Source organism: Homo sapiens, chromosome 8, assembly GCF_000001405.40.
Source record: "Homo sapiens chromosome 8, GRCh38.p14 Primary Assembly".
Taxonomy (NCBI): domain Eukaryota; kingdom Metazoa; phylum Chordata; class Mammalia; order Primates; family Hominidae; genus Homo; species Homo sapiens.
In genome coordinates, this window is record NC_000008.11 from 100,614,010 (window position 1) to 100,639,172 (window position 25,163).

Sequence of the window (25,163 nt, forward strand, 5' to 3'; positions counted from 1 at the left end):
AGGCTCACAGGGGGCCTTCTCTTGTCAGAGATACATAAATTACCCCCAGGAAGCAGTCTGATTAGGTGGCTGGTATGAGTGGGTGTTCTCAGCATAGCTTTGAAAATAAAGAGCAGCTGAGGAATAGTTTCACCACTTTCAAAGCAATTCCCTTCCCCTTCTTTCTGTCTCTCTCTTTCCCCCATGTTTTGGGCTGCAAAACACCCAAAAGCCAAACACAGTGGGTAAGTGTGTGGTAGGTAACAGCATAGTAAAGACATCTTTCCCAGAGTAAACCTGACCCAGGTCCACTCAAGTTAGATTTCCTTCTTTTCTGTCTAATTCAGGGAAAACAACAAGCTTACATGCCAAGGCAGACAGAGGAAAGGCATGGGGGCAAAAGGAGAATGAAGAAGCCTTTCGCATTCATAAAGACATAAATATAAACACCTTCTTTTGAGAGGAGTGAGCATCAGCAAAAAAATACGTAATAATATTTTTCCTCTTAGCAAATGTTAATGATGATTCAAAACACGAACGCCATCACTAGCACCACAGTAGTCCTAGATTTTAGCTTGCTGCTGGCCCTTAAAGAGGCCATTGAGGCCCGGCACGGTGGCTCATGCCTGTAATCCCAGCACTTTGGAAGGCTGAGGCGGGTTGATCACCTAAGGTCAGGAGTTCAAAACCAGCCTGGCCAACATAGTGAAACCCCATCTCTACTTAAAAAAAAATACAAAAATTAGCTGGGTATGGTGGCACGTGCTTGTAATCCCAGCTACTCAGGAGCTGAGGAAGGAGAATCGCTTGAACCTGGGAGGCAGAGGTTGCAGTGAGCCAAGATTGTACCATTGCATTCCAGCCTAGGCAACAAGAGTGAAACTCCATTTCAAAACAACAACCAAAAAAGAGACCATTGAAAAGTAAAAGGCAGGCTGTGGGTGAGGCAAACCTGGGGAAGCAAAGTGAGAATGGCAGCAAGTGTGCTGGAGAAGATGCAGAAGGCGATTTTTAATTATAAAACTTAAATTATGGTTTTATGCAAGCTAGAGAATTTCCCAGCTCCTGGAAGGAAATTCACACCTGTGGCTGACCAAGTGACCACTTCACCTGTTATGGAAACTACCACTTCTAGGGTAGAACCTCCAGTTAAACTTACCTGATCTGATGATGTCAACGTCTTGGGTCTGAATTTCTCACAAGCCAACATGATTGGAAGAGAGGAAGCACATTTTTCTGACTGCAAATGTACTTCATCAAATGTATGCTATTAGTTTCAAGGGAAATGGACAAAACAGATGGTACCACAGAACCCTGGAGATACTGCCCTACTCAGTACGTATTCAGCACTCCCTCCAATATCAAGATCAATACCAATACCAATAATGATAAATAAACACAACTGCCATTGTCTCGGGAACGTGAACTATTTCTATAATTATTTACTTAGACATTGTCTGTAAAGTAACTTACCCAAATTCACACAGCCCTTACACAGCAACACTGTGCAGCTGTGTTTTGCTTAATGACAGGAATACATTCTGAGAAATGCATCGTTAGGCGATTTTGTTGTTGTGTGAACACTGCGAAGTGAACTTACACAAATCTAAATGGTATTGCCTGCTATACACCTAGGCTAGACGGTATGGCCCGCTGTTCCCAGGCTACAAGCCTGTTAGCCCAGGTTTATAGTAGTATAGTAGGCATGTTACTGTACTAAATACTCTAGGCAACTGTAACATGCTGGTAAGTATTGGTGTATCTAAACATATCTATTGTTATTATTATTATTATTTTTGGAGACGGAGTCTTGCTCTGTCGCCCAGGCTGGAGTGCAGTGGCGCGATCTCGGCTCACTGCAAGCTCCGCCTCCCGGGTTCACGCCATTCTCCTGCCTCAGCCTCCTGAGTAGCTGGGACTACAGGCACCCGCCACCACGCCCGGCTAATTTTTTTTTTGTATTTTTCAGTAGAGATGTGGTCTCACTGTGTTAGCCAGAATGGTCTCGATCTCCTGACCTCGTGATCCGCCCACCTTGGCCTCCCAAAGTGCTGGGATTACAGGCGTGAGCCACAGTGCCTGGCCAAAACATATCTAGACATAGAGAAAGTACAGTAAAATATTGTATCATAAACTTATGGGACCACCATTGTATATGCAGTCCAATGTTGACCGAAACGTCATTATTATGTGGCACATGACTGTAATTTGAATCCAGGACTCATCCTAAACCCAGAAGATAGGAGACCCCAAACTATCACCACCACCACTGGCTTCAGCTGCAGGCATGTCTAGTTTGGTCAGCAAGCCCAGTGTGTAAAAAAAGAAGTCAATGATGATGTCTTTGGGGAAGGCAGGTGCTCTCTCCTGTTCTATATCTGATCCTGCAGCTGTACCCCAGAGCTACCTGCCTGGCCCCAGACACATGCAGTCTGTGGCTCCCACTCTATCACTGCCTTCCTACTCCTCCTTCATTTATGAGTCTGTCTCCCACTTCTAGATCCTGAGCAATTGAGGTTTTTGTGTTTGGGGTACAAACTCCCTCAAGCATCAAGGGCTTTTGATACTTTTTAGAAAGACTATGCTGGAAATCAATACAGAAGATTAGCAAGACTGGAAGCAGGGAGACTAGTTTAGGGGCAGCTGTAGAGATCTAGCTGGGAAACAATGAGGGCTGGAGCTAAGGTCAAGATGTAGGATCGAGAGGAGGAAACGGAGAGACGATGAATATAAGAGAGACTGGAGATACAGGAATAGGTTAAGTCAAGGCAGGCCCGAAGAGCTAGCAGCCAAAATGGGAGTGCTTCCGTTTCTCAGCTCAGAAAGGGTCAGACACCATAACCCAAGCACAAGAACGTTCTGTCCTTTGAAAGGTCCTAGAAACTTTCTGACTCTTCTTCATGTTTATAACTTTGTCTTTTCTCTTGTATGTTTCTCTGGAGGATTAGAGCTAAAACCTTCCAGAGGAAAAGGGCCTGGGAGCTTGCCCCCAGGCAGCAGGATGTGAGTGTGAGAAGACAGTGTCCCCTCTGCAGCCCCACTCAGCAGATGGAAAAGGGGTCTGGGAGGCAGAGCTGCTGAAGAAGGATGAAGCCTTCTGGGTCTTGTCCTATTAGTCCTCAGACAGTGGACTACAACTCATGTCTGGGCCCTCTGCACCCAGAATTAGCCCTGATGGAGCACTGGTTTCAAGAATTTTCCCTGTGGGAGAATAGGAACCTTCAAGAACTCCCCTGTCACCTGCACACCTAGGTATGACCTGTTTCAGACTCTGCCAAGCCCCACTTTCCTTCCTGCTCCCAACGATGGGACATCCAGTAATAAAGCATTTTACATATTTCCAGGCCACATCCCTGGCTAAGTTCCAAGGAAGTGACAGCAGCCTTCCAGGAGATCTCTGGAAAATTGGTGCCCCCAGGGAGGGTGAAATCAAAGAGGCCCTGGAGGATTGGCTGTATCTTAGGTTCCTTGGTTGTTCTCCCAGCAAATGCCAGTACCTCTGCAGATAATCATCCACAGAGTAAAACAACAGGCCAGAAGCTCCTGGAAGGTAACCGTATCCCATTCTCTGCTTTCCAAACAGAACCATCCCTAGATTCAGTTCTGGAGCTGGAGTTTAAACAAAGCTTACCTCTAGGACTCTTTCAGCAGTGTCTGATGTTATAATTTCGATTCTAATACTCTGTTCATTGGGCAGAAATATGTCCAGATAAGCTTTCTTGGTGGCGATGTCAAATGTATTCTATAAGCAAAAGAAAAGCAAAATAAATTTCCACACCTTTTTTTTTTTTTTGGAGGCGGAGTCTCACTCTGTTGCCCAGGCTGGAGTGCAATGGCGTGATCTTGGCTCACTGCAACCTCTGCCTCCTGGGTTCAAGTGATTCTCCTTCCTCAGCCTCCCAAGTAGCTGGGATTACAGGCACCCACCACCACGTCCAGCTAATTTTTTGTATTTTTAGTAGAGACGGGGTTTTACTGTGTTGGCCAGGCTGGTCTCAAACTCCTGACCTCAGGTGATCCACCCTCCTTGGCCTCCCAAAGTGTTGGGATTACAGGCCTGAGCCACCACGCCCGGCCTCCACACCATTTTTTAAAGCTGCACCATTGCAGCAAGCGAACAATCCACAGCTTCCTTTTTTGGTGCTCTTCTAGCATATGGTACCCAAAGTTCCCAAGAGACAAGTGCAGAGATTGGAAGGGTTGTTTTGTGGGGTATAGTGGAGGCAAGGCAAAGGAGTAACATGAAGCTTAAAGAACTTCCAAGTAAACAACTGAGTATCTATATTGGAGAAAACAGCTTTTGATAAAGTCTGCATCCTTAACAGTCTCATAATTAACTTGCCCAGTTTTCAGTATTTCCAAGCATCCCTAAAGCCCATATCCCTGATTTTTTCTGACACTAATTGTGGGTGGGGGCAGGGGGAAGGTGTTTCCATGTAGCAACCAATTCTCCAGTTCTTGAACATCACAATGGCTGTCCAACAATTCAATTCAATTATGACATGCTTTGCTTGGAGTTGGCATCAGATCCCTCACGTTTAAGGGCTCAGCTCCACAAGACTACCCCCTTCACATGCCAGCAGCAAATATGGGGCCCAAGTTACCCACATTTCTGCCCAGCTGACTACAAATTCTGGTTTCCATGACCCCCTCTCAGGTTTGATAGTTTGCTAGAACAACTCACAAAGTGAAGGAAAATGGTGTACTTACTATTACTGGCTTATTATAAAGGCTACAACTCAGAAACAGCCAAACGGAGGAGATGCACAGAGCAAGGTGTGGGTGGGGTTTCCATGCTCTGTTTGGGTGCCCCACCCTCCCAGCACCGCCACTTGCTCGCCAACCTGGAAGCTCTTCAAACCCCATTGCTTAGGGGGGTTGTTTATGGAGGTGCCGTTATGGAAGCTCCTCAAACCCCATTGCTTAGGGGTTTCTTATGGAGGTCTACGACACAGGCATAATTGATTAAATCATTGGCCACTGGTGACGAAACTCAATCTCCAGCCACTCCCCCTTCCCAAGAGGCCGAGAGTTGTGGGGTGGGGGCTGAAAGTCCCAATCCTCTAATCATGCCGTGGTCTTTCAGGTGACCAGTCCGCATCCTGATACTATCTCGGAGTCCCCCAGCCAAGAATCATCTCATCAGCATAAACTCAGGCAATGTTGAAAGGTGCTTGTTATGGATAACAAAAGGCAGTCCTAACGCTAAGGAAATTCCTAGGAACTCTGTGCCAGGAACTGGGGACAAAGATCAAATTGGTTTTGTATTATGCCACACTAAATATGCAGTAATTTATGATTTTGCTATAGCAAAAATCTGAGCTGCACAAACTGTGAGGCCAGTGAAGGGAAGTGAGTTGCCATCTAGTGAGTGAGTTTCCAGCTGAAGGAGCAGCTCCTGCTGGACACAACTCTGCAGGCTTAAGCATAAGCATCCTGCAAGGGGAAGGATGTGTGCTAGAAGCAGGAACAAATCTGGGGATCTGTGACATTCTTGGGATGGAGCTGGAGACATTGTTAGGCCATCAGAGTTCAGGGAAGCACAGGCTGAATTGTTACTCCAGCTGCTATAGGGAGAGGGAGGACACCAGGAGGAAGCAGGATCCAGAGAGGCCAGCGGCTGCCCACATGGGGCCTTGCAGGGCAGCGATCTGGGGGTGGATTGTTCCTTGGCATCTCCTAAAGGCGATGCTGTCAGTCCACAGACCTGCTTCATCTCTGGCTGATTGAGGTCACAGCCTTTCTCATCCCAGATTCCCTGAGAGGATTAAACTCTAATGCCCCAAGGCATCCACAGTATACAATAAATTAACTTCTCTCCTAGGCATTCAGAATGGTACTGGCCATGTAACATCCTCAGGAAAATGGAGAAAGGAGTCACATCATCTTCTGTGTTTGGAGACTGCTATGTAAGCCAGAATACTAGTCACACAGTGCAGGTGGGAGCGGCCGGGAAGTAACCTCCTTTTTTTTTAAGACTAATACATTTATGGTATACACCTGAATTTGTGTTGCGGAAATCTGATACCCATTGCACACATTCTGTATCATGTTTAAAATAATTTCAACTTTTATTTTAGATTCAAGGGGTACACTTGCAGTTTTGTTACACGGGTTTATTGCGTGATGCTGAGGTTTGGGGTACAATTGATCGCATCACCTTCCAGGTGTCAGCATGTAAAAGGGAAGATCCAAATGACCAATCAGGAGATTACTGGGGGACCACAAAGTTGGGGCTCAGGTCAGCTGACCAGGTGAGACCCTGTCTCCACCATGGGCAACAGCTCCCCTTTCCTCAGGCCCCCTGACCTTTCAGACACAACAGATGCTGCAGTCTTCACAGGGACCTGGGGAGCCCCAGCAACTCAATCACATTGCTCGGTGACCCCAAAAGGCTGATCACATTAGCAACAGGCTTATTTTTCGTCATTTCATTATCAAAGGGCAAGTTTTGACTTTACATTTTAATTCCTCCCCACCACATGCTTACAATTACTAAATTTCTATGATTCTGAATCTAAGTTCTTTAGAAGAGAAAATCTGCTCTCTTCTACATTCAAAGGATTAGTCCAAAAAAAGCACTATATTTGTGTGTTGTATCTACATATATAAGAAGCTGTGTATATAGCACATCATTTATGGATAAAATATCTATATATTTATTGTATACAACTATTTTATTAGATTGTGATCCTGATCATTGGGCTCATTGTTTCACATATAGCAGCTCACTTAATTCTCATAACAACTCCATGAGGCATATACACTTACTAATCCCATTATTTTTTCAGATGAAGTACAGGTTCACAAAGGTTAAATAACTTGCCCAGGCCGAGCATGGTGGCTCATGCCTGTAATCCCAGCACTTTGGGAGGCTGAGGTGGGCGGATCACCTGAGGTCGGCAGATCACCTGAGGTCAGGAGTTCGAGACCAGCTTGGCCAACATGGTGAAACCCTATCTCTACTAAAAGAAAAATAAAAAAGGAAAATACATTTAAAAAAAAATTAGCCAGGCATGGTGGTGGATACCTGTAATCCCAGCTACTTGAGAGGCTGAGTCAGGAGAATTGCTTGAACCCGGGAGGTGGAGGTTGCAGTAAGCTGAGATTGCACCACTGCACTCCAGCCTGGGCGACAGAGCAAGACTCCATCTCAAAAAAACAAAAACCAAAAAATAACTTATCCAAGGACACACTGCTAGTTGGTGGCAGAGGCAAAACTCAAGGCCAGCTCCATGTGACTGTAGGTTCTAAATAGGGTAAACATCTCTCCCAGCTGGCCCAGAAGCCTGGCACCCCAGTGTGATAACTGCAGCACTCTTTTCACTCTCAAAAGCATCCCAGTTTGGATAAGCTATATGGCTGCCCTAGCTCTAAGCTACCATGTGTTAAGCTGCCTCTCTCCATGTAGAAGAGAGTTAATATTTGACTTACTGGCAACAGGTAAGAAATAACGGAGTCAAAGAAAGATTCAGAAAAGTCTTTTCAACACTCATATCCAGTCAAGTTCTGAAACCTCCATATTTCCCATCTTAAATGATCTCTTGAGACCATCTCCATCTTACCACCAGCACCTTAGACCCAGCTAACATCCCCTCTGCCCTAGACTCCCCACTTCAATGGGCTCCTTACAAGTCTCCTTGCTTCCATTCTCCTCCCCTACCAAGTGGTCCTCACACAGCAGCCTGAGATATATTTTTTAAATGCAAACCTAAAAATGTCCCTTTCTTGCTTAAAACCCTCCAACATCCTAACATTATTCATAGGTCACCCGACTCTTTGCCATTGGTCAGGATGAGAGGAATTGGTGGCCCACTGCCCCTTACTTCCTTTCCTCCTCCTGTCTGGCACGTCCTCCAGGTTTCGATGCTCAGTGCAATTCTCACTCCCTCGGAAGAAGGAAGGAAGGGCAGGGTCCTCGCCTTCAGCTGGGGCTGCTAATCTTGAAGCAAATGGAGGGAAGCTCTGTGAGAATAAAGTCAATGTAGAGAAGAGCAGGGTTTGGGGTAGAGGTGAGAAGTGGGAGGCAGCCAACCTTCCACAACTTTTTAGTTAAATAAACAAATTTCTGTTTTGTGATTTTGGCCTTGACAATGAAAATAACCTGACTAATCGGAAGTAGTTGAGTTCTACCTTCTCCACTCTAAATGCTTATTTGTAGAATGTTGTTGGCTTTTTTTTCACGCTTAATTAGTTTAAAGCCAGGTTAGATGGCTGCCTAGAAGATAAGCTCCTACAGAGCAGGATTATGTGGTGAGTTTATCTTGAAGAGTGCCCTGTACAAGTAGACATTTAATAATCTTGGTTCCATATTTCTCAAAATAATCCAAGTGAGAAGAGAAAAAGAACTAGCATAGTAGCGTCCGCAATGGGGCATTTTCCAGGTGTGGTGGCTCACGCCTGGAATCCCAGCACTTTGGGACCCAGCTGAGGTAGGTGGGTCATTTGAGGTCAGGAGTTCGAGACCAGCCTGGCCAACATGGTGAAACACTGTCTCTACTAAAATACAGAAATTAGCTGGGCGTGGTGGCACATGCCTGTAATCTCAGCTACTTGGGAGGCTGAGGCAGGAGAATCACTTGAACCCAGGAGGCGGAGGTTGCAGTGAACTGAGATTGCACCACTGCACTCCAGCCTGGGTGACAGAGCAAGACTCCCTCTCAAAAAATAAATAAGTAAATAAATAAATAAATAAATAAATAAATAAAAATAAAAATAAATTAAATGGGGGCATTTAAAAATGGAGTGTTGATACATGAACTTCCCTCTCTAGCCCTCGACTGCATACTTATCCTACAGATATGTAAGAAGAGAATATTAAGGCTAAAGCCTCCAATGTTTTGTTTGATGTCGCAGTACTGGTTTTGGCTGAGGTAACCTCCTCTCAGTAAAGAACCTGCACATCAAGGGAGGTAAGAGGTTAAAGCGCCACCCAACCTGCTGCCATTGGCCAGGATGGACAAATCAGTTGGCAGCTGCACTCACCTTCCTTCCACCTTCTATCACACCCTACTGGTTTGTATTTCTCTGTTTTCACATTGCTATAAAGAAATACCTGAGACTCGGTAATTTTTATAAAGAAAAGAGGTTTAATTGGCTCACAGTTCTGCAAGCTGTACAGAAGCATGATGCTGGCATCTACTCAGCTTCTGGGAAGGCCTCAGGAAGCTTACAGTCATGGTGGAATGTGAAGGGCAAGCAGGCATGTCTTACATGGCTGGAGCAGGAGCAAGGGTGGGTGGAGGTGCCACACACTTTTAAACAACCAGATCTCATGAGAACTCACTCACTGTCATGAGAACAGCAACAAGGGGGAGGGCGCTAAACCATTCATGAGAAACCTCCCATGATCCAATCACCTCCCGCCAGGCTCCACCTCCAACACTGGGAACTACAATTCAACATGGGATTTGGGGGAGAACAGAAATCCAAACAGTTCCCTCACCCAGTGGAATTCTGACTCACATTCATCTTCAACCTCATCCACTTTCCCCAGGACTCCAGCCACACTCTCCTCCTCCCTCCTTCCCACCAGCTAACCTCACTTCCTATTAGTCACAGAGAAAACAGCAAGATGGGAACTTACTCTGCTTCCCCTCACTGTCCAGCCTTGGACCCTGCCTGTAGCCTTGCTCTATCTTTCTTTGACCTACACTCAATTTAAAAGGTGCCCTTCCTCCACCTGATCCCAGACCTTGTGCAATTCTCCTTCCAGAAGGACTTGGAGCCACTGATAATCAAGGCCCCTCCTTCACACTCCCATCTTCCACTTCTCCTTCTCTACCGGCTCCTACTCACCAGCAGCAAACTTATTCAAGTCTCTGTCATCAAAAGCAACAGAAAGTCAGAGACTTTGGGTAGATCATCTCGAAGGGAAAGAAACTGATGTGCTTGACTATGGGGAAAATTCTGTCTTCAGGGCTGCTATAGGTACGGAAGGAGTTTAGTCATATGTTTTGAGACAACTAAGCATTTTTTTTTCTGTTAAGTGATTCAGTTTTAACTCCAGTTGGGGGGGAGGTGGGGGGATGCGGGGAGGAAAGAGGAAGGTGTTGACTCAGGACTTAATTTTTTAAAATTAAAGTTAGGGGAGAAAGGAAGAATAGAAGTGACACAAGAAAGCTGAAATCCTCACATCCATCACAGTCAGTGGATAGGGTCTAAAAATTGAAGAATAATAGCTGGGTGCTATGGCATATACCTGTAATCCCAGCTCCTGGGGAAGCTGAAGAGGAAGGATCACTTGAGCCCAGGAGATGGAGTCCTGGGCAACATAGTGAGATCCTGTATCTAGAAAAAAATAAAACGAAGAATGAGAGATAGTCATATATGTATATAATTAACCTCCATATTTTTAAGTATCTGAAGAGAAAGCTGTAAGATTTGAAAGTCATTGCCTCTGGAGGACAGGGGAGTGTTATAATCCTTTTAATCACTATTTCACTGCTATTTTTAGATTTTTAACTTTTATTCCATCCATGATGTCTATTTCATTTTTCTAACTATAAGCACATTTTGCTTTGGTAAGTAAACAAACATTTTAGAGCAATATAATAAAGAGGAGAATTGATGGCATCAAAAGATCTTGGTGTGATGAGACCAAAGCAAGCACAAAACAGATCAAACAAGTTTAGAGTGGAAATCAAACAACAATTTGGCTCTATTTGTGATATTTGAATTTTACTAGAATGTTTTAATGTATAATTCACAAAATTAATGAAATGTAAACGCAATACAAAAACCAGCTGGGGGGAAAAGTCAACCTGGTAGAATTGGCTTGTATAAAAAAACAAAACATTAAATGAGCTGCTATCCTTTTTCTTTTTTTTTAAAGTCAGGGTCTTGCTCTGTTTCCCAGGCTGGAGTACAGTGGGCTGATCATAGCTCACCGTAGCCTCAAAGCTCTGGGCTCAAGCAATCCTCCTGCCTCAGCCTCCAGAGTAGCGGGGGCTATAGACACGTGCCACTACCCCCATCTAAATATCTCTTATTATTATTTTTTTGTAGAGACAGAGTCTCACTATGTTGCCCAGGCTGGTCTTCAACTCCTGGCCTCAAGTAATTCTCCCACCTCAGCCCCCCAAAGTTCTGGGATTACAGGTGTGAGCCACCACGTTTGGCCCAGCTGCCATACTTATCTATAATGCAGCAGGAATGAAAAAATGCAATTCATACTAGAAAACTAACAAAAATACATTCATTTTAAAGAAACCTCAAAATCCTCCAATACCATGGGCTGCCTTAATGTTTTAAAATACGTGCTTTGTTGCTATTCTGCTCTGAGGCAGAGGAACATTCTTAAGAATGTTTTCCATTTCCCTTGTAGAGAAATGACAGCGGCCCATCATTGCATGTGATGGAGGTTTAGAGCCTGGTGAGTCCACATATGGATTTTCTTGGATGCGCACCATGGCTATTAGACATTCCTCTGCCTCAGAGCAGAATAGCAACAAAGCACACCGATCTCCTTGAAAAATTAAAAGATTTCTCCAGTTGTTAAATTCAACTCAATTCAACTCAAAAAGAGCACATATTTTGAAAAGTGTTAAGGTTCTGGGAAGTGACTGTTACCTCTGTCCTGCCCTCTCTTTAGAAGCAAACAGAAAACAATGAAAAGGAAAGCATCCTTGAAGAAACTTACAAATAGCCCTGAGCCTGAGGTTTTCAGAAGGGCTGCCAAGTGCGTTGAAAATTGAACCTGGTCAGGAAGGAGGGAATCAGAGGTCTCAAAGTGCTGCAGAACTCAAGCAACGCATAAGCTGCCTCAAAGCAGTTAATCACATGGTGCTCAGCCTGTCTGAGAGCGCTACTCCGGGCCCCACTGGACACCACCTAGTGGCAGGGGATGCTGAAGAGATGTACAGACACTCCATCTTTGCAAAAAGCAATCTCTCAGCATGGCTGGGGAAAGAAAAGGGACTGGCATTAAGATTTTGCTTTTTAAAACCTATATCTTGGCCAGGCATGGTAGCTCACACCTATAATCCCAGCAGTTTGGGAGGCCGAGATGGGTAGATCACCTGAGGTCAGGAGTTCAAGACCAGCCTGACCAACATGGAGAAACCCCATCTCTACTAAAATACAAAAATTAACTGGGTGTGGTGGCATGCGCCTGTAGTCCCAGCAACTCAGGAGGCTGAGACAGGAGAATCGCTTGAACCCAGGAGGTGAAGGTAGTGACTACCTCATATCTATTAACATTGTGCCGGATGATATGCTTTAAGGGTATCAGTTAATTTAATCCTCAAAGCAACCCCAAGAGACAGGAGCTCTTCTCCCCATTTTACAGATGGGGAAACTGAGGTACAAAAAGCCTAAGTAAATTGACCCAAGTCATATAAATCAAAAGTAGGGCAGCCAAAATTTGAACTGAGGCCATCTCACTACTTAGCCTGAACTCTTAACCCCTAGACCAGGTCGGGGGCTGCTGATCTTAGTCAATCAAAATATTTAGAAGGCTAGATCATGATATGAGGAGCTGGGGTTTAAAGCTTTGCTGCTAGACAGTCTGATTAGGCCTTAGGGTAGCATGTTCATAAGAAAGTGCTCAGAAACAAGAAACAAGAACTGGAAATACAACAGATTCGATGAATTCAACTCAGGCCCCCTCCCCAGTACTATGTGTCAGCAAACAGCTAGCTCACAACAGCAGCCTGTTTCAAAGTTGATTGATGACTTAAAGATAACTGGCAAGGGATCTATGCAAAAATCCTGCAAGAAAGGAGGAAAGAAACATGACCAATGAAAGGCAAATAACATATACCAAAAGAATTACATCATTAAGCAGATGAAAATAAAAAGAAGGTGTTTCTGAATGAAGACCTCAAAGAATAGATAAAAGCCTCAAGAAATAAGATAACAAAAGGATATAAAAGTGAGCTGGTAAAGTTCACGGAAGAAATGGAAGAGGAAAATAAAGCCATTACAAAAGTGAAAATTGTGTTAGAAAAAGTAAAAAGAGGCACTGAAAAACACAGCTAGAGGTATAAGGCTTTTGTATGAAGTCACAAAGGCAAAATATTAAGGAAATGAAATCAGGTATAAAACCTTTCAAATTATCAGGAAAATAAGATACACAAAACTGGCTGGGCGCAGTGGCTCACGTCTGTAATCCCAGCACTTTGGGAGGCTGAGGCGGGAAGATCACAAGGTCAGGAGTTCAAGACCAGCCTGACCAACATGGTAAAATCCTGTCTCTACTAAAAATACAAAAATTAGCCAGGCGTGGTGGCACATGCCTTTAATCCCAGCTACTTGGGAGGCTGAGGCAATAGAATCACTTGAAACTGGGAGGTGGAAGTTGTGGTGAGCCGAGATCATGCCATTGCACTGTAGCCTGGGCAACAAGAGCAAAACTCCATCTCAAAAACAAACAAACAAACAAACAGAGATATACAAAACAAAGCTTAACAACATTGAATGATCCCATGAATGATGGAAAGCAAAACCCAGAATGCACCCCAAAAAGACGACTGAACTAAAGTCAACTTACGATTACATGTGCAGATATAGAATGATCTGCAAGACATAGGTCTAAAAGAGCAACGTCAATTTAAAAAAATTTTTTTTTCGAGACAGAGTCTTGCTCTTTCACCTAGTCTGGATTGCAGTGGCATGATCTCAGCTCACTGTAACCTCCACCTCCTGGGTTCAAGCAATTCTGCCTCAGCCTCCCAAGTAGCTGGGATTGCAGGCATGCACCACCACGACCGGCTAAATTTTTATTTTTGCAGAGATGGGGTTTCACCACATTGGCCAGGCTGGTCTCAAACTCCTGACCTCAGGTGATCCGCCCACCTCAGCCTCCCAAAGTGCTGGGATTACAGACGTGAGCCACAGCACCCGGGCATTAAAAAGCAAGGGCTAATATCCAGAATCTACAATGAACTCAAACAAATTTACAAGAAAAAAACAAACAACTCCATCAAAAAGTGGGCAAAGGATATGAACAGACACTTCTCAAAAGAAGACATTTATGCAGCCAAAAAACACATGAAAAAATGCTCATCATCACTGGCCATCAGAGAAATGCAAATCAAAACCACAAAGAGATACCATTTCACACCAGTTAGAATGGCAATCATTAAAAAGTCAGGAAACAACAGGTGCTGGAGGGGATGTGGAAAAATAGGAACACTTTTACACTGTTGGTGGGACTGTAAACTAGTTCAACCATTGTGGGAGTCAGTGTGGCGATTCCTCAGGGATCTAGAACTAGAAATATCATTTGACCCAGCCATCCCATTACTGGGTATATACCCAAAGGATTATAAATCATGCTGCTATAAAGACACACACACACATATGTTTATTGCGGCACTATTCATAATAGCAAAGACTTGGAACCAACCCAAATGTCCAACAATGATAGACTGGATTAAGAAAATGTGGCACATATATACCATGGAATACTATGCAGCCATAAAAAATGATGAGATCATATCCTTTGTAGGGACATGGATGAAGCTGGAAACCATCATTCTCAGCAAACTATCGCAAGGACAAAAAAACAAACACCGCATGTTCTCACTCATAGGTGGGAATTGAACAATGAGAACACATGGACACAGGAAGGGGAACATCACACACTGGGGACTGTTGTGGGGTGGGGGGAAGGGGGAGGGATAGCATTAGGATATATACCTAATGCTAAATGACGAGTTAATGGGTGCAGCACACCAACATGGCACATGTCTACATATGTAACAAACCTGCATATTGTGCACATGTACCCTAAAACTTAAAGTATAATAATAATAAAATTTTTTTAAAAAAGCAAGTTGAAAAAATGTGTTGAGTGTGCGCTTGTTTGTAAAATAAAATGGGTGTGTGTGTGTGTGTGTGTGTGTGTGTGTGTGTGTAGTCATGTACCCCTTAATGACATTTTGGTCAACAGCAAACTGCACATATGGCAGTAGTCCCACAAAATGATAGTACCATATTTTTACTGTGCCTTTTCTATGTTTAGATACACAAATACCAAGGTGTTTCAATTGTCTACAGTATGCAGTACAGTAACATAGTATACAGGTTTGTAGCCTAGGGGCAGTAGGCTCTACCATCTAGGTTTGTGGTGTTCACACAATGACAAAATCGCCTAATGATGCATTTATCAGAACGAATCCACATTTTTAAGTGACACATGATTGTGTGTGTGCATGTATGTGTATATATATGTGTGCATGTACATATATATGTATATATATGCATGCTTATATATGTGCAGAAATGTGTAGCAAAAGAGCACTATAAACTATTAGACTATACACAACAGTTGTCACTGAGGAGGGGGATCATAAGGGAAGAAAAGTTACTTTTCATTGTATACGCTTGGCTATTTGAATTTTACTATCATCACCACTTCCACAGCAAACTTTTCAAAGAATAGGAAAGTGTGTGTATATATAAACCATCAAGAAATTGTGAAAATATGAACCACTACAGAACAGAAGGCTCTAGGGCCATTTCTCAGGTTGACTGGGCCAGTAAATATTCCAACACATTTGAACCCCTGTTTACATGAGATTTGTTGTGAGAACCCAATGGGATTTTATTTTATAAATGAGTAAATGAATGAATGAAATGTGTTCTCATTTTTGCAAATCTGATCATTCCTCCCCTGGCTAAGGATCCAGTTAACTAGTATCATATTACTGCGGAACTTAAATTCTTTCAGAGCTTTTCCAGCCAAGCTCATACATACAGGCATAACAATGTTTCCTTATGTGTCATTAGAATGAGTGTTGTGCTAAACAAACGTACTTAGCAGTTTCAGCCTAGGGAGCAAGTGACCCATGACTCTTTAGACCAACAAAGGAAAGGGAGTTGCTGTATGTCATTCTGTTCATGTTGAATTTTCTCCATGATTCATTTACAATAAAGGTAGGAGTAGAGAATATACAAGGAATAGCCAGCATGGCCTGCTTTCCTGATGTCTTCACTGTGGCCCATTTGGAAATCTCAGCTACAGAAGCAGGGTCACAGACATGTTATGGGAACCCTTAATGATAAAGGCTGTAGTTCTTGTACTGTACTTGAAGGTCCTCTTCTTCATGTCCTGTTTTGAGATGTATGATTCTTAGGCTACAGAAAAAGGGATCTACTTAATAAAATGAGCCAAAGGTCAAGTGACACACTTCATTTTCCATCTAAAATCTAAACCTCCAAAAGAACAAAATAGGAACCATCCCCCAATTGACTTGAAATGAATATATTTTGTCCAAGTCCAGGCTCTGTGGGGCTGTGACCAGTGCACACATGTGTGTGTACCTGCACACTTGGTTCATGAAGAGTGTCCTGCAGAGGAATGATGGCCCCATTAAAGAAGAGCAAGCTTACCAGCTGCGCCAGTTTTAAAAACTCAACGAAGACATCACTTCTCAACACGTTTGGGTCCATGGTTACTGAAAAACATGGACGGTGAGCCAGGTTAGCATGGGCTGGGCTGGGCCCTGCCTATTAATTGCTATGTCCTCCAGAGATCCCTCCATGCCTTGCCAGTGCTCTGTCTCCTCCCTGAAGTGATAAATGTTGAAACCTCTCAAATACAGGAAAACCCCCAAAGCTTGCCTCCTATAGGCAGCCTTAACAACAGGAACCCATGACACCCATCCAGGGTGACAGTGTTCCCAGGCATCTCACTTTATTTATACAAACCCATACTACTGAACATCCATTTTGCTGCCCTACCAGGATGATAATGAAGTTTATATGAAGAATCAGAAAGATCTTAAAACCTGCATCTAGACTCCCAGCCTAGCAAGACACAGGGTAATTTGAAAATTTAATTCAACCAAGAAACATCAACTGAGAGCACCTCTTTGGAGTCTCGCCCAGTCGCCCAGGCTGGAGTGTAGTGGCGTGAGCTCGGCTCACTGCAATGTCCGTCTCCTGGGTTAAGACGATTCTCTTGCCTCAGCCTCTGAAGTAGCTGGGATTACAGGCACTCACCACCATGCCCGGCTAATTTTTGTATTTTTAGTAGAGATGGGGTTTCACCATGTTGGCCAGGCTGGTCTCAAATGCCCAACCTCAGGTGATCTGCCTGCCTTGGCCTCCCAAAATGCTGGGATTACAGGTGTGAGCCACAGCACCCGGCCGAGAGCACCCCTTTGAATGATAGGAGTTCTCGAGATGTTACCAAAAAAAAGCAATGATAAGGCAGTCAGAGAGATTTAAAATATTTCATTCTTCTATAATTAACAAAAATATTTTTACCCTTAGTTTTAAAGCTCCTGACACAAATAGCCAGGAGATATGGGCAGAGCAGATGGGGCAGACACACCCCCATGAGAACTGCAAACCCACAAGGTATGGCCCAGCCTGGTTCCTCCTGGTTTACCCCCACTTGCCACAGATCCTCTCCTATATCCTGCGCTTCAGCTACACTTACATACTTACTAAATGCTGCCAAATTTCTTTCTTCCTTCTGTTTTCATTGCTGTTTTACTTTTTTTTTTTTTTTTTTGAGATGGAGTCTTGCTCTGTCACCCAGGCTGGGGTGCAATGGCGTGATTTCACCTCACTGCAACCTCCACCTCCCAGGTTCAAGCAATTCTCCTGCCTCAGTCTCTCAAGTTTTTGGGATTACAGGAGTGCGCCACCACACCCGGCCTGTTTTACTAATTTTATCAAACATCCTCTACCAGCATTCAAAACTATCACTGACTTCATTGCAGGCTGTGCCTTTCCCAAAAGACATCATGTTTTCCAAAATAAACGAAGAGAGAAAGTCCCTGCAACATGAGAAACTATTTATAAAAAGCATTCTGTCTTTTCTGAGGGGTAATTCCCGGAGTGGAGGAGGGGAAGCCCTTGCATTATTTTCTGCAATGGGGCATATAGTCAAACTACTAATAACTATATTCATTAGCATAAATTCTTGGGAATGAGGAAAGCTGCTGAAAAAGGTATTCACCCAACTGGTATTTACTGCGTGACTATTAAGTACCAGTATTAGGCTAAAAACTTTGTATATTTTAGCTTATCTAATCTTCATGACAAACTCGGAGGTAAATATTATTTCTGTTTCACGGATAAAGAAACTGAGGCTCAGAGAAGGTAGGTATCTTGCCCAAGGTCACACAGCTGGTGAGGAGCTAAAGTGGGGTTTGACACTGGGTCTGATTTGAGAACCTGTGCTCTGAGTCATGAGGCTAAGCTGTACTGTCTTCCTACTGGACCTTGTCAAAGACGGTACACAGGTCATCCTGATAATATGAATAAAGACCAGGCCTGGAAAAGCGAACCCTCAAGCACGGTGATCATCTGTGAAAAGGCCAGGTATTAAAGGAACATTTTGCTAAGACACGAGAAAACAAACTAAGGGAGAGTGAAAATTCAAAAGATATTACATTTTGAACTTGAACTTTGAAAGAGCTCATTCAGCAGGTCTAAAAAGAAGTATGGTCCCATGACAAAAAAAAATTTAATGGGAAATAGATGGCTTCTAGAATTTTTACTTACTATGTTTAAGAAAAATTTGCAGCCATGAAAAATAATGAGATAAATCTATGACTGCTGATGTAGAATGACTTCTAAGATATATATTTTTTAAGAGAAAAAAGTCAACATACAGGAGAAAAACCCTTTTTCTTGAGCTACAAAGGACATTAGTATAATAGTTGGCGATGTTTTATTTATTTATTTTTAGATACAGGGTCTCCATCTGTCACCCAAGCTGGAGTGCAGTTGCTCAAATCACAGCTCAGGAGGTCGAGACTGCAGTGAGCTGTGATTGCACCACTGCACCCCAGCCTGGGTGACATAGCAAGACACTGACTCTAAAAAAAATACAGAGATGAGATCTATATTGCTCAGGTTGGTCTCAAATTCCTGGGCTCAAGTGATCCTCTTGCCTCAGCTTCCCAAAGTGTTGGGATTACAGGTGTGAGCCACCACGCCCAGCCTAAATGTCTCAGCAGTTTTATGTTTGCTGACTTTATTTTATTTTTTGAGACAGGGTCTTTCTCTGTTGCCCAGCATGGAGTGCAGTGGCAAGATCAGAGCTTACTGCAGCCTGAAACTCCTGGGCTCCAGCAATCCTCCCACCTCAGCCTTCCAAGTAGGTGCAGGCACGTGCCACTACACCCAGCTAATTTTTATTTATTTTTTATTTTTGGGTACAGATGGGGTCTTGTTATATTGCCCAGGCTGGCCTTGAACTCCTGGGCTCAAGGGATCCTCCTGCCTTAACCTCCCAAAGTGCTGGAATTGCAGGCATGAGCTACCATGCCGAGCCTAATTGTTGGTGAAGTTTGAATAAGGTCTCTAGATAGATTATTGTATCAATGTTGTTTCCTGGTTTTGATATATTGAACATTATTGTATCAATGTTGTTTCCTGATTTTGCTAACTATACTGTGGTTCTATAAGACAGTCTCTGTGATCTTAGGAAATACACAAAGTATTTTATTTATTTATTTATTTTTTTGAGATGGAGTTTCACTCTCACTGCCCAGGCTGGAGTGCAATGGTGTGATCTTGGCTCACTGCAGCCTCCTCCTCCCGGGTTCAAGTGATTCTCCTGCCTTAGCCTCCCAATTTGCTGCGATTGCAGGCACGTGCCACCATGGTCAGCTAATTTTTTGTCTGTTTAGTAGAGACGGGGTTTTGCCATGTAGGCCGGGCTGGTCTTGAACTCCTGGCCTCAGATGATCTGCCCACCTCAGCCTCCCAAAGTCACAAAGTATCTTAAAATAAGATGGCTGAGGTGTGTAAGATTCAAGTGAGTCTAAAAAAAAGATATAGAGAGATTCATATATACACATACACACACAAGGAAAAAAGAATGATAAGACAAATGTAAAATGTAAACATCTGGGAAATCTGGGTGGCGTATACAGAAATGCTTAGCATTATGTTTGCAACTTTTCTGTAAACCAAACTTTCAGAATAAAAAGCTCTGAAAATCAGCTACAGAAAAGTATGTATAGTAAAGTTCAATTTGTGTTGAGCAAAAAGGGATCTATATACACGCAAATTGCTGCTAGGTAATATACAAACAGCCTGGGGTGGAAAGGGAACTTACCTTTCATTGTATATTCTTTTAGGTAGTTTATATTTTAAGAAATATTATGTGTATACACTTTTCCAATTTTAAAAACTTTAAGTCTTTAAGTGCCAGTTTTGCCATTTCCCCTCAACATCCTCTTTTCCGTGACAGCCTAATCTTGCCAACAACAGTTTTGCTGTACACAGCATTTCTAGGACCCAGGCGAAGGGCAAGCTGTTGTACTGTAAGCCTCACAGGGGACACAGCTGAATGTCCTTGGTGCCTTAGCATGGCTTCCTGGTAAGGACTAACATGAAGGCACAAGCTCTGGCACTGCTAATAAAGACCTCTGACATCTCTCAAGGGCTTTCCTGTAAGTGGTTCATCTCATCCTTTTGTTCATTCCTAATCCAGAAACTTTTTTTTTAACCTCCCAATCAAAGCCAAAATACAGCACCCAAGTGTGACTCTAAACATAAAGTAGGCCAGGCATGGTGGCTCACCCCTGTAATCCCAGTACTTTGGGAAGCTGAAGTGGGCAGATCGTTTGAGATCAGGAGCTCGAGACCAGCCTGGCCAACATGGTGAAACCCCATCTCTACTAAAAAAATACAAAAATTAGCTGAGCATGGTGGCAAGCACCTGTAATCCCAGCTACTAGAGAGGGTGAGGCAGGAGAATTGCTTGAACCTGGTAGGCAGAGGTTGCAGTGAGCCAAGGTCACACCACTGCACTCCAGCCTGGGCGACAGAGCGAGACTCTGTCTCTCTGTCTTAAAAAAAAAAAATTAAATATTGGGTGCAGTGGCTCATATCTATAATCCCAGCACTTTGGGAGGCTGACATGGGAGGATTGCTTGAGGCCAGGAGTTTGAGACCAGCCTGGGCAATATAGTGAGACCCCACCTCTGTAAAAAAAATTTTTTTTTTTAATTGGCCAGGCATGGTGCGTTGCACATATAGTCCCAGCTTCTCAGGAAGCTGTGGTGGGAGGATTGCTTGACCCCCCAGGAGACCAAGGCTATAGTTAGCCACGATTGTGCCACTGTACTCCAGCCTCGTCAACAGGGAAAGATCCTGTCTCAAAAAATAAAATCAGCAAACATATAACTGCTGAGACATTTAGGCTGGGTGTGGTGGCTCATACCTGTAATTCTAACACTTTAGGAAGCTGAGGCAGGAGGATCACTTGAGCCCAGAAATTTGAGACCAGCCTGGGCAACATAGTGAGACCTCATCTCTTTTATTTATTTATTTATTTATTTTTATCTTTTTTAGAGTCACTGTCTTGCTGTGTCACCCAGGCTGGAGTACGGTGGTGCAATCACAGCTCACTGCAGCCTCAGCTTCCTATGCTCAAGCTATCCTCTCACCTCAGCTTCCTGAGTAGCTGGGATTATAGGCATGCACCATCATACCTGGCTAATTTTTAAAATTTTGTTTAGAGACAGGATCTCTCTATGTTGCTCAGGCTGGTCTTGAACTCCTGGCCTCAAGTGATCCTCCTGCCTCAGCTTCCCAAAGTGCTGAGATTACAGGTGTGAGCCACCATGCCCAGCCAGACTTCATCTCTTAAAAAAAAAAAAAAAAGGTATTTTTAAAACCAAATACAAAGAACACATATTATATAATCCCTTATATATGAAACGTCCAGAATAGGCAAATCTTTAGAGATAAAAATTATAGTGGTAGTTGCCAGGGCGTGGTGGGGGAGGGAAAGAGGAAGTGATTGCCAATGGGTATGAGGTTTCTTTTGGGGGTAGTGACAATATTCTAAAATTAGATTACGGTAATGGTCGCACAATTAATTACATAAATATATTGTAAAAGAATTGTACACTTTAGCAGGTGAATTTTGTGGCATATAGCTTACATTGCAATAAATCTGTTTTTTAAAAAACCCTGCAAATACATACCATTTTGCAAATATTGTTCCAGTTGGTCCCTCCTCTCATCAGCCATAGCTGTGGTCATTGCCAGATAGTACTTTGGTGGGAAGGGTGGCAGGCAATTTCCAAAGACCCGCCTTAGCTGAAAGATCCAGGAAACACAGTTAAGGCAGGTGAGCCGCCAGTTCAGGGTTGATGAGATTACTAAAGTCTCCTTTAGGGCAAGTCCCATCCCAGCACTTTATTTCAAATTAAGCTTTCCTGGTAGCCCAAAGGGGGAAAAGAGGACAATCTGATTTTCTTAAGGAGGAATTTATTTCAGTATATATTCTGGAGACATTACTAGACATATCACAGACCGACAGCTCCAGTCTAAGTTTGGTAGAGCTGAGATGTATTTTTATTTTTCATTTGTTTTACAAGACTAGCCACTGCTCACATCATACAATATTATCTTGATTCATTCCACAACAGTGTCTGTGATATCAATTACAACGGGAATTAAATTCCTCAGCCCTACCGCCACCAAATCTGAACTTGACAAATGCTTACAGCTGTGTCACCTAAAGCGGTAGCCACCAGTCACCTGTTGTGAATGAGCACTTGAACGTCGCTAGTTTGGATTGAGATGTGTTGTAGGTGTAAAATACATTCCAAATTTCAAAGAAAAGAGAATGTAAAATATCTCGCTGATAATTTTTTATACTGATTACATGTTGAAATGATAATATTTTGGATATATTGAATTAAATAAAATATATTATTAAAATTAATTCCATCTGTTTCCTTTTACTCTTTTTAATGTGCCTATCAGAAAATTTTAAATTACACAGGTGACTCATATTTCTTTCTTTCTTTCTTTCTTTTTTGAGACGGAGTTTCACTCTTGTTGCCCAGGCTGGAGTGCAATGGCTCAATCTTGGCTCACTGCAACCTCCGCCTCCTGGGTTCGAGCAATTCTCCTGCCTCAGCCTCCCGAGTAGCTGGGGTTACAGACATTTGCCACCAGGCCAGGCTAATTTTGTATTTTTAGTAGAGATAGTGTTTCTCCATGTTGGCCAGGCTGGTCTCAAACTCCTGACCTTAGGTGATCCACCTGCCTCTGCCTCCCACAGTGCTGGGATTACAGGCGTGAGCCACCACACCCGGCCGGGTGACTCACATTATATTTCTATTGGACCAGTGCTGGTTACAGAATTCCAATAAGGCTGACATATGATCCCAAGTAGAAACCAGCCAGGCCCTTCTCTCCCACTTACTCATATATGACCCATGACCATGGCAGTAATTATTTTTATGGAACCTAAAAAGTGGATGCATAAAAAATAATTTTAAAATTAAGAACTAAAAATGTGCATCTTTATTCCAGCCCAACACTTGTAGTGGCAGCTTGAAGGTAAGGCACAGATTCATTCTCCTGAAAATAAGAGAAAGGAAACCACTCAGAAACCCAATCAGGTTTTGACATGGTACCTCTAGAGCAGGAGGGCTGAAATCTTACTATTACCATACTCAGTGGCTTAAAGAAAATGAAAGATGGAATAAGAAAAATGAGGCTGCAAACAGCAAGATTTTTTAATTCCATGGCCTTTGTCACAAATACAGTGAGTATCTGACAAATATTTACCTTGCATAGACAGGCCCTAACTTCAGAAAAGTCAAGAATCTCATGACTTCTCTCCATGCCCACTACCATCACCCTGGTCCAAGTCACTATCATCTCTTTTCTAGATTATTGCAATCGCCTTCCAACAAGTCTCTCTGCTTCTACCCGTGACTCCTTCAGTCTATTCCTAACACAGCATCTAAAGCGATACTTTATTTTTATTTTATTTTATCTTTTTGAGACAGAGTCTCGCTCTGTCGCCCAGGCTGGAGTGCAGTGGCATGATCTTGGCTCACTGCAACCTCCACCTCCTGGGTTCAAGTGATTCTCCTGCCTCAGCCTCCTGAGTAGCTGGGACTACAGGTGTGTGCCACCACGCCCAGCTAATTCTTGTATTTTTAGTAGAGACGGGGTTTTGCCATGTTGGCCAGGCTGGTCTCAAACTCCTGACCTCAGGTGATCTGGCTGCCTCGGCCTCCCAAAGTGCTGGGATTACAGGTGTGAGCCACTGCACCCAGCCTAAAGTGATACTTTAAAAATGTAAGTCAGCCAGGTGCAGTCATGCACACCTGTAGTCCCAGCTACTTGGGAGGCTGAGGCAGGAGGGTTGCTTGAGCCCAGGAGTTCAAGGCTAGCCACTGCCCTCCAGCCTGGGCAACAGAGCAAGACTTTATCATTTCTTAAAATAAGAAAAGTAAGTCAGATCATTCCACTGCCTTTCTCAAAATCATCCTCAACTTCTCATCTCACTCAAGTAAACCCAAAATTCTTACAATGACCTAGAACTGTGCCATCTAATATGGTTGGCATTAGCCACCTGTGAGTAAATTTAAACATAATTAAAATAATTTGAAATTTTAAAATTCAATCTCCAGTCTTGCTAGCCACATTTCAAATGCTTAATAGCCACTTGAAATATTGTAATTTGCTACTGAGTTGGGCAAAGCAGATATACAGCATTTCCATCAGCACAAAAGTTCTATTGGGAAACATTGGTCTAACATCTGGAATGGTTATTAACTGCCTGCCCGTGGGCAAAACACACTTCCCTGATGCATTTTTTTGGTGGTTGGTTGTTTGATTTTTAGATAACTGGAATTTGGTACCAGCAGTTATTTGTGTGACTTAAAATTTTAAAAACTTGTATCTTGAAGAGAATACAGAATATTACAACCACTTTGAAAGACAGTTTGGCAATTTCTTACAAAGCTAAACATAGTCTCACTCTATAATCCAGCGATAAATACCCAACTGATTTGAAAACTGTCCATACAAAATGTTTATGGCAACTTAATTCATAACCCCCAAAATTTAAACAACAAAGATGTCCTTCAGTCTGTGAATGGATAAGCAAACTGTGATATATCCATACAATGGAATGTGTTATTCAGAAATAAAATGAAATAAGATATCAAAACACAAAAGACATGAAAGAAACGTAAATAAATATTGCTAAGCGACAGGAGTCAGTCTGGAAAAGCTATATACTATATGATTTCAATTATATGACTTTCTGGAAAAGCCAAAAGTATAGAGACTTTATAAAAAGATCAACAGCCACAAAGTTTTGGGGCAGGGAGGTACAGAATAACTGAAACACATGGAGTTTTTTAGGGCAATAAAACTAGTCTATGTGAAACTAGAATTGTGGATGCATGACACTATGCATTAGTCAAAATTACAACAGAACTTGATGT

General features: G+C 43.0%; 1 protein-coding gene and 1 long non-coding RNA gene across 22 annotated transcripts in view; one reads left to right on the forward strand and one right to left on the reverse strand.

The window, feature by feature from the left end:
- Positions 1-25,163, reverse strand: part of SNX31 (sorting nexin 31) — a 90,712-nt gene that overhangs the window by 41,136 nt on the left and 24,413 nt on the right. For 16 of the 20 annotated variants that reach the window (XM_011516899.2, XM_024447085.2, XM_017013161.2 and 13 more), the window contains 3 exons: positions 21,888-22,002; positions 16,318-16,382; positions 3,611-3,721 (listed from right to left, as the gene is read on the reverse strand). In XM_011516899.2, the coding sequence (XP_011515201.1) occupies positions 3,611-3,721; positions 16,318-16,382; positions 21,888-21,945 (234 nt within the window). In that variant the 5' untranslated portion in view covers positions 21,946-22,002. Of the gene's footprint in view, positions 1-3,610; positions 3,722-4,321; positions 4,397-7,805; positions 8,357-16,317; positions 16,383-21,887; positions 22,003-25,163 lie in introns of those variants that run through there. The other 4 variants (XM_024447086.2, XM_024447084.2, NM_001363720.1 and 1 more) reach the window with 2 other exon arrangements.
- LOC105375671 (uncharacterized) lies at positions 4,528-5,984 on the forward strand. Of its 2 annotated transcripts, none has more exons than XR_007061033.1 (3): positions 4,528-4,636; positions 5,066-5,149; positions 5,804-5,984. It is a non-coding gene; the product is annotated as an uncharacterized LOC105375671 (long non-coding RNA). The 2 variants fall into 2 exon arrangements; XR_928454.3 differs by lacking the exon at positions 4,528-4,636 and adding an exon at positions 4,667-4,755.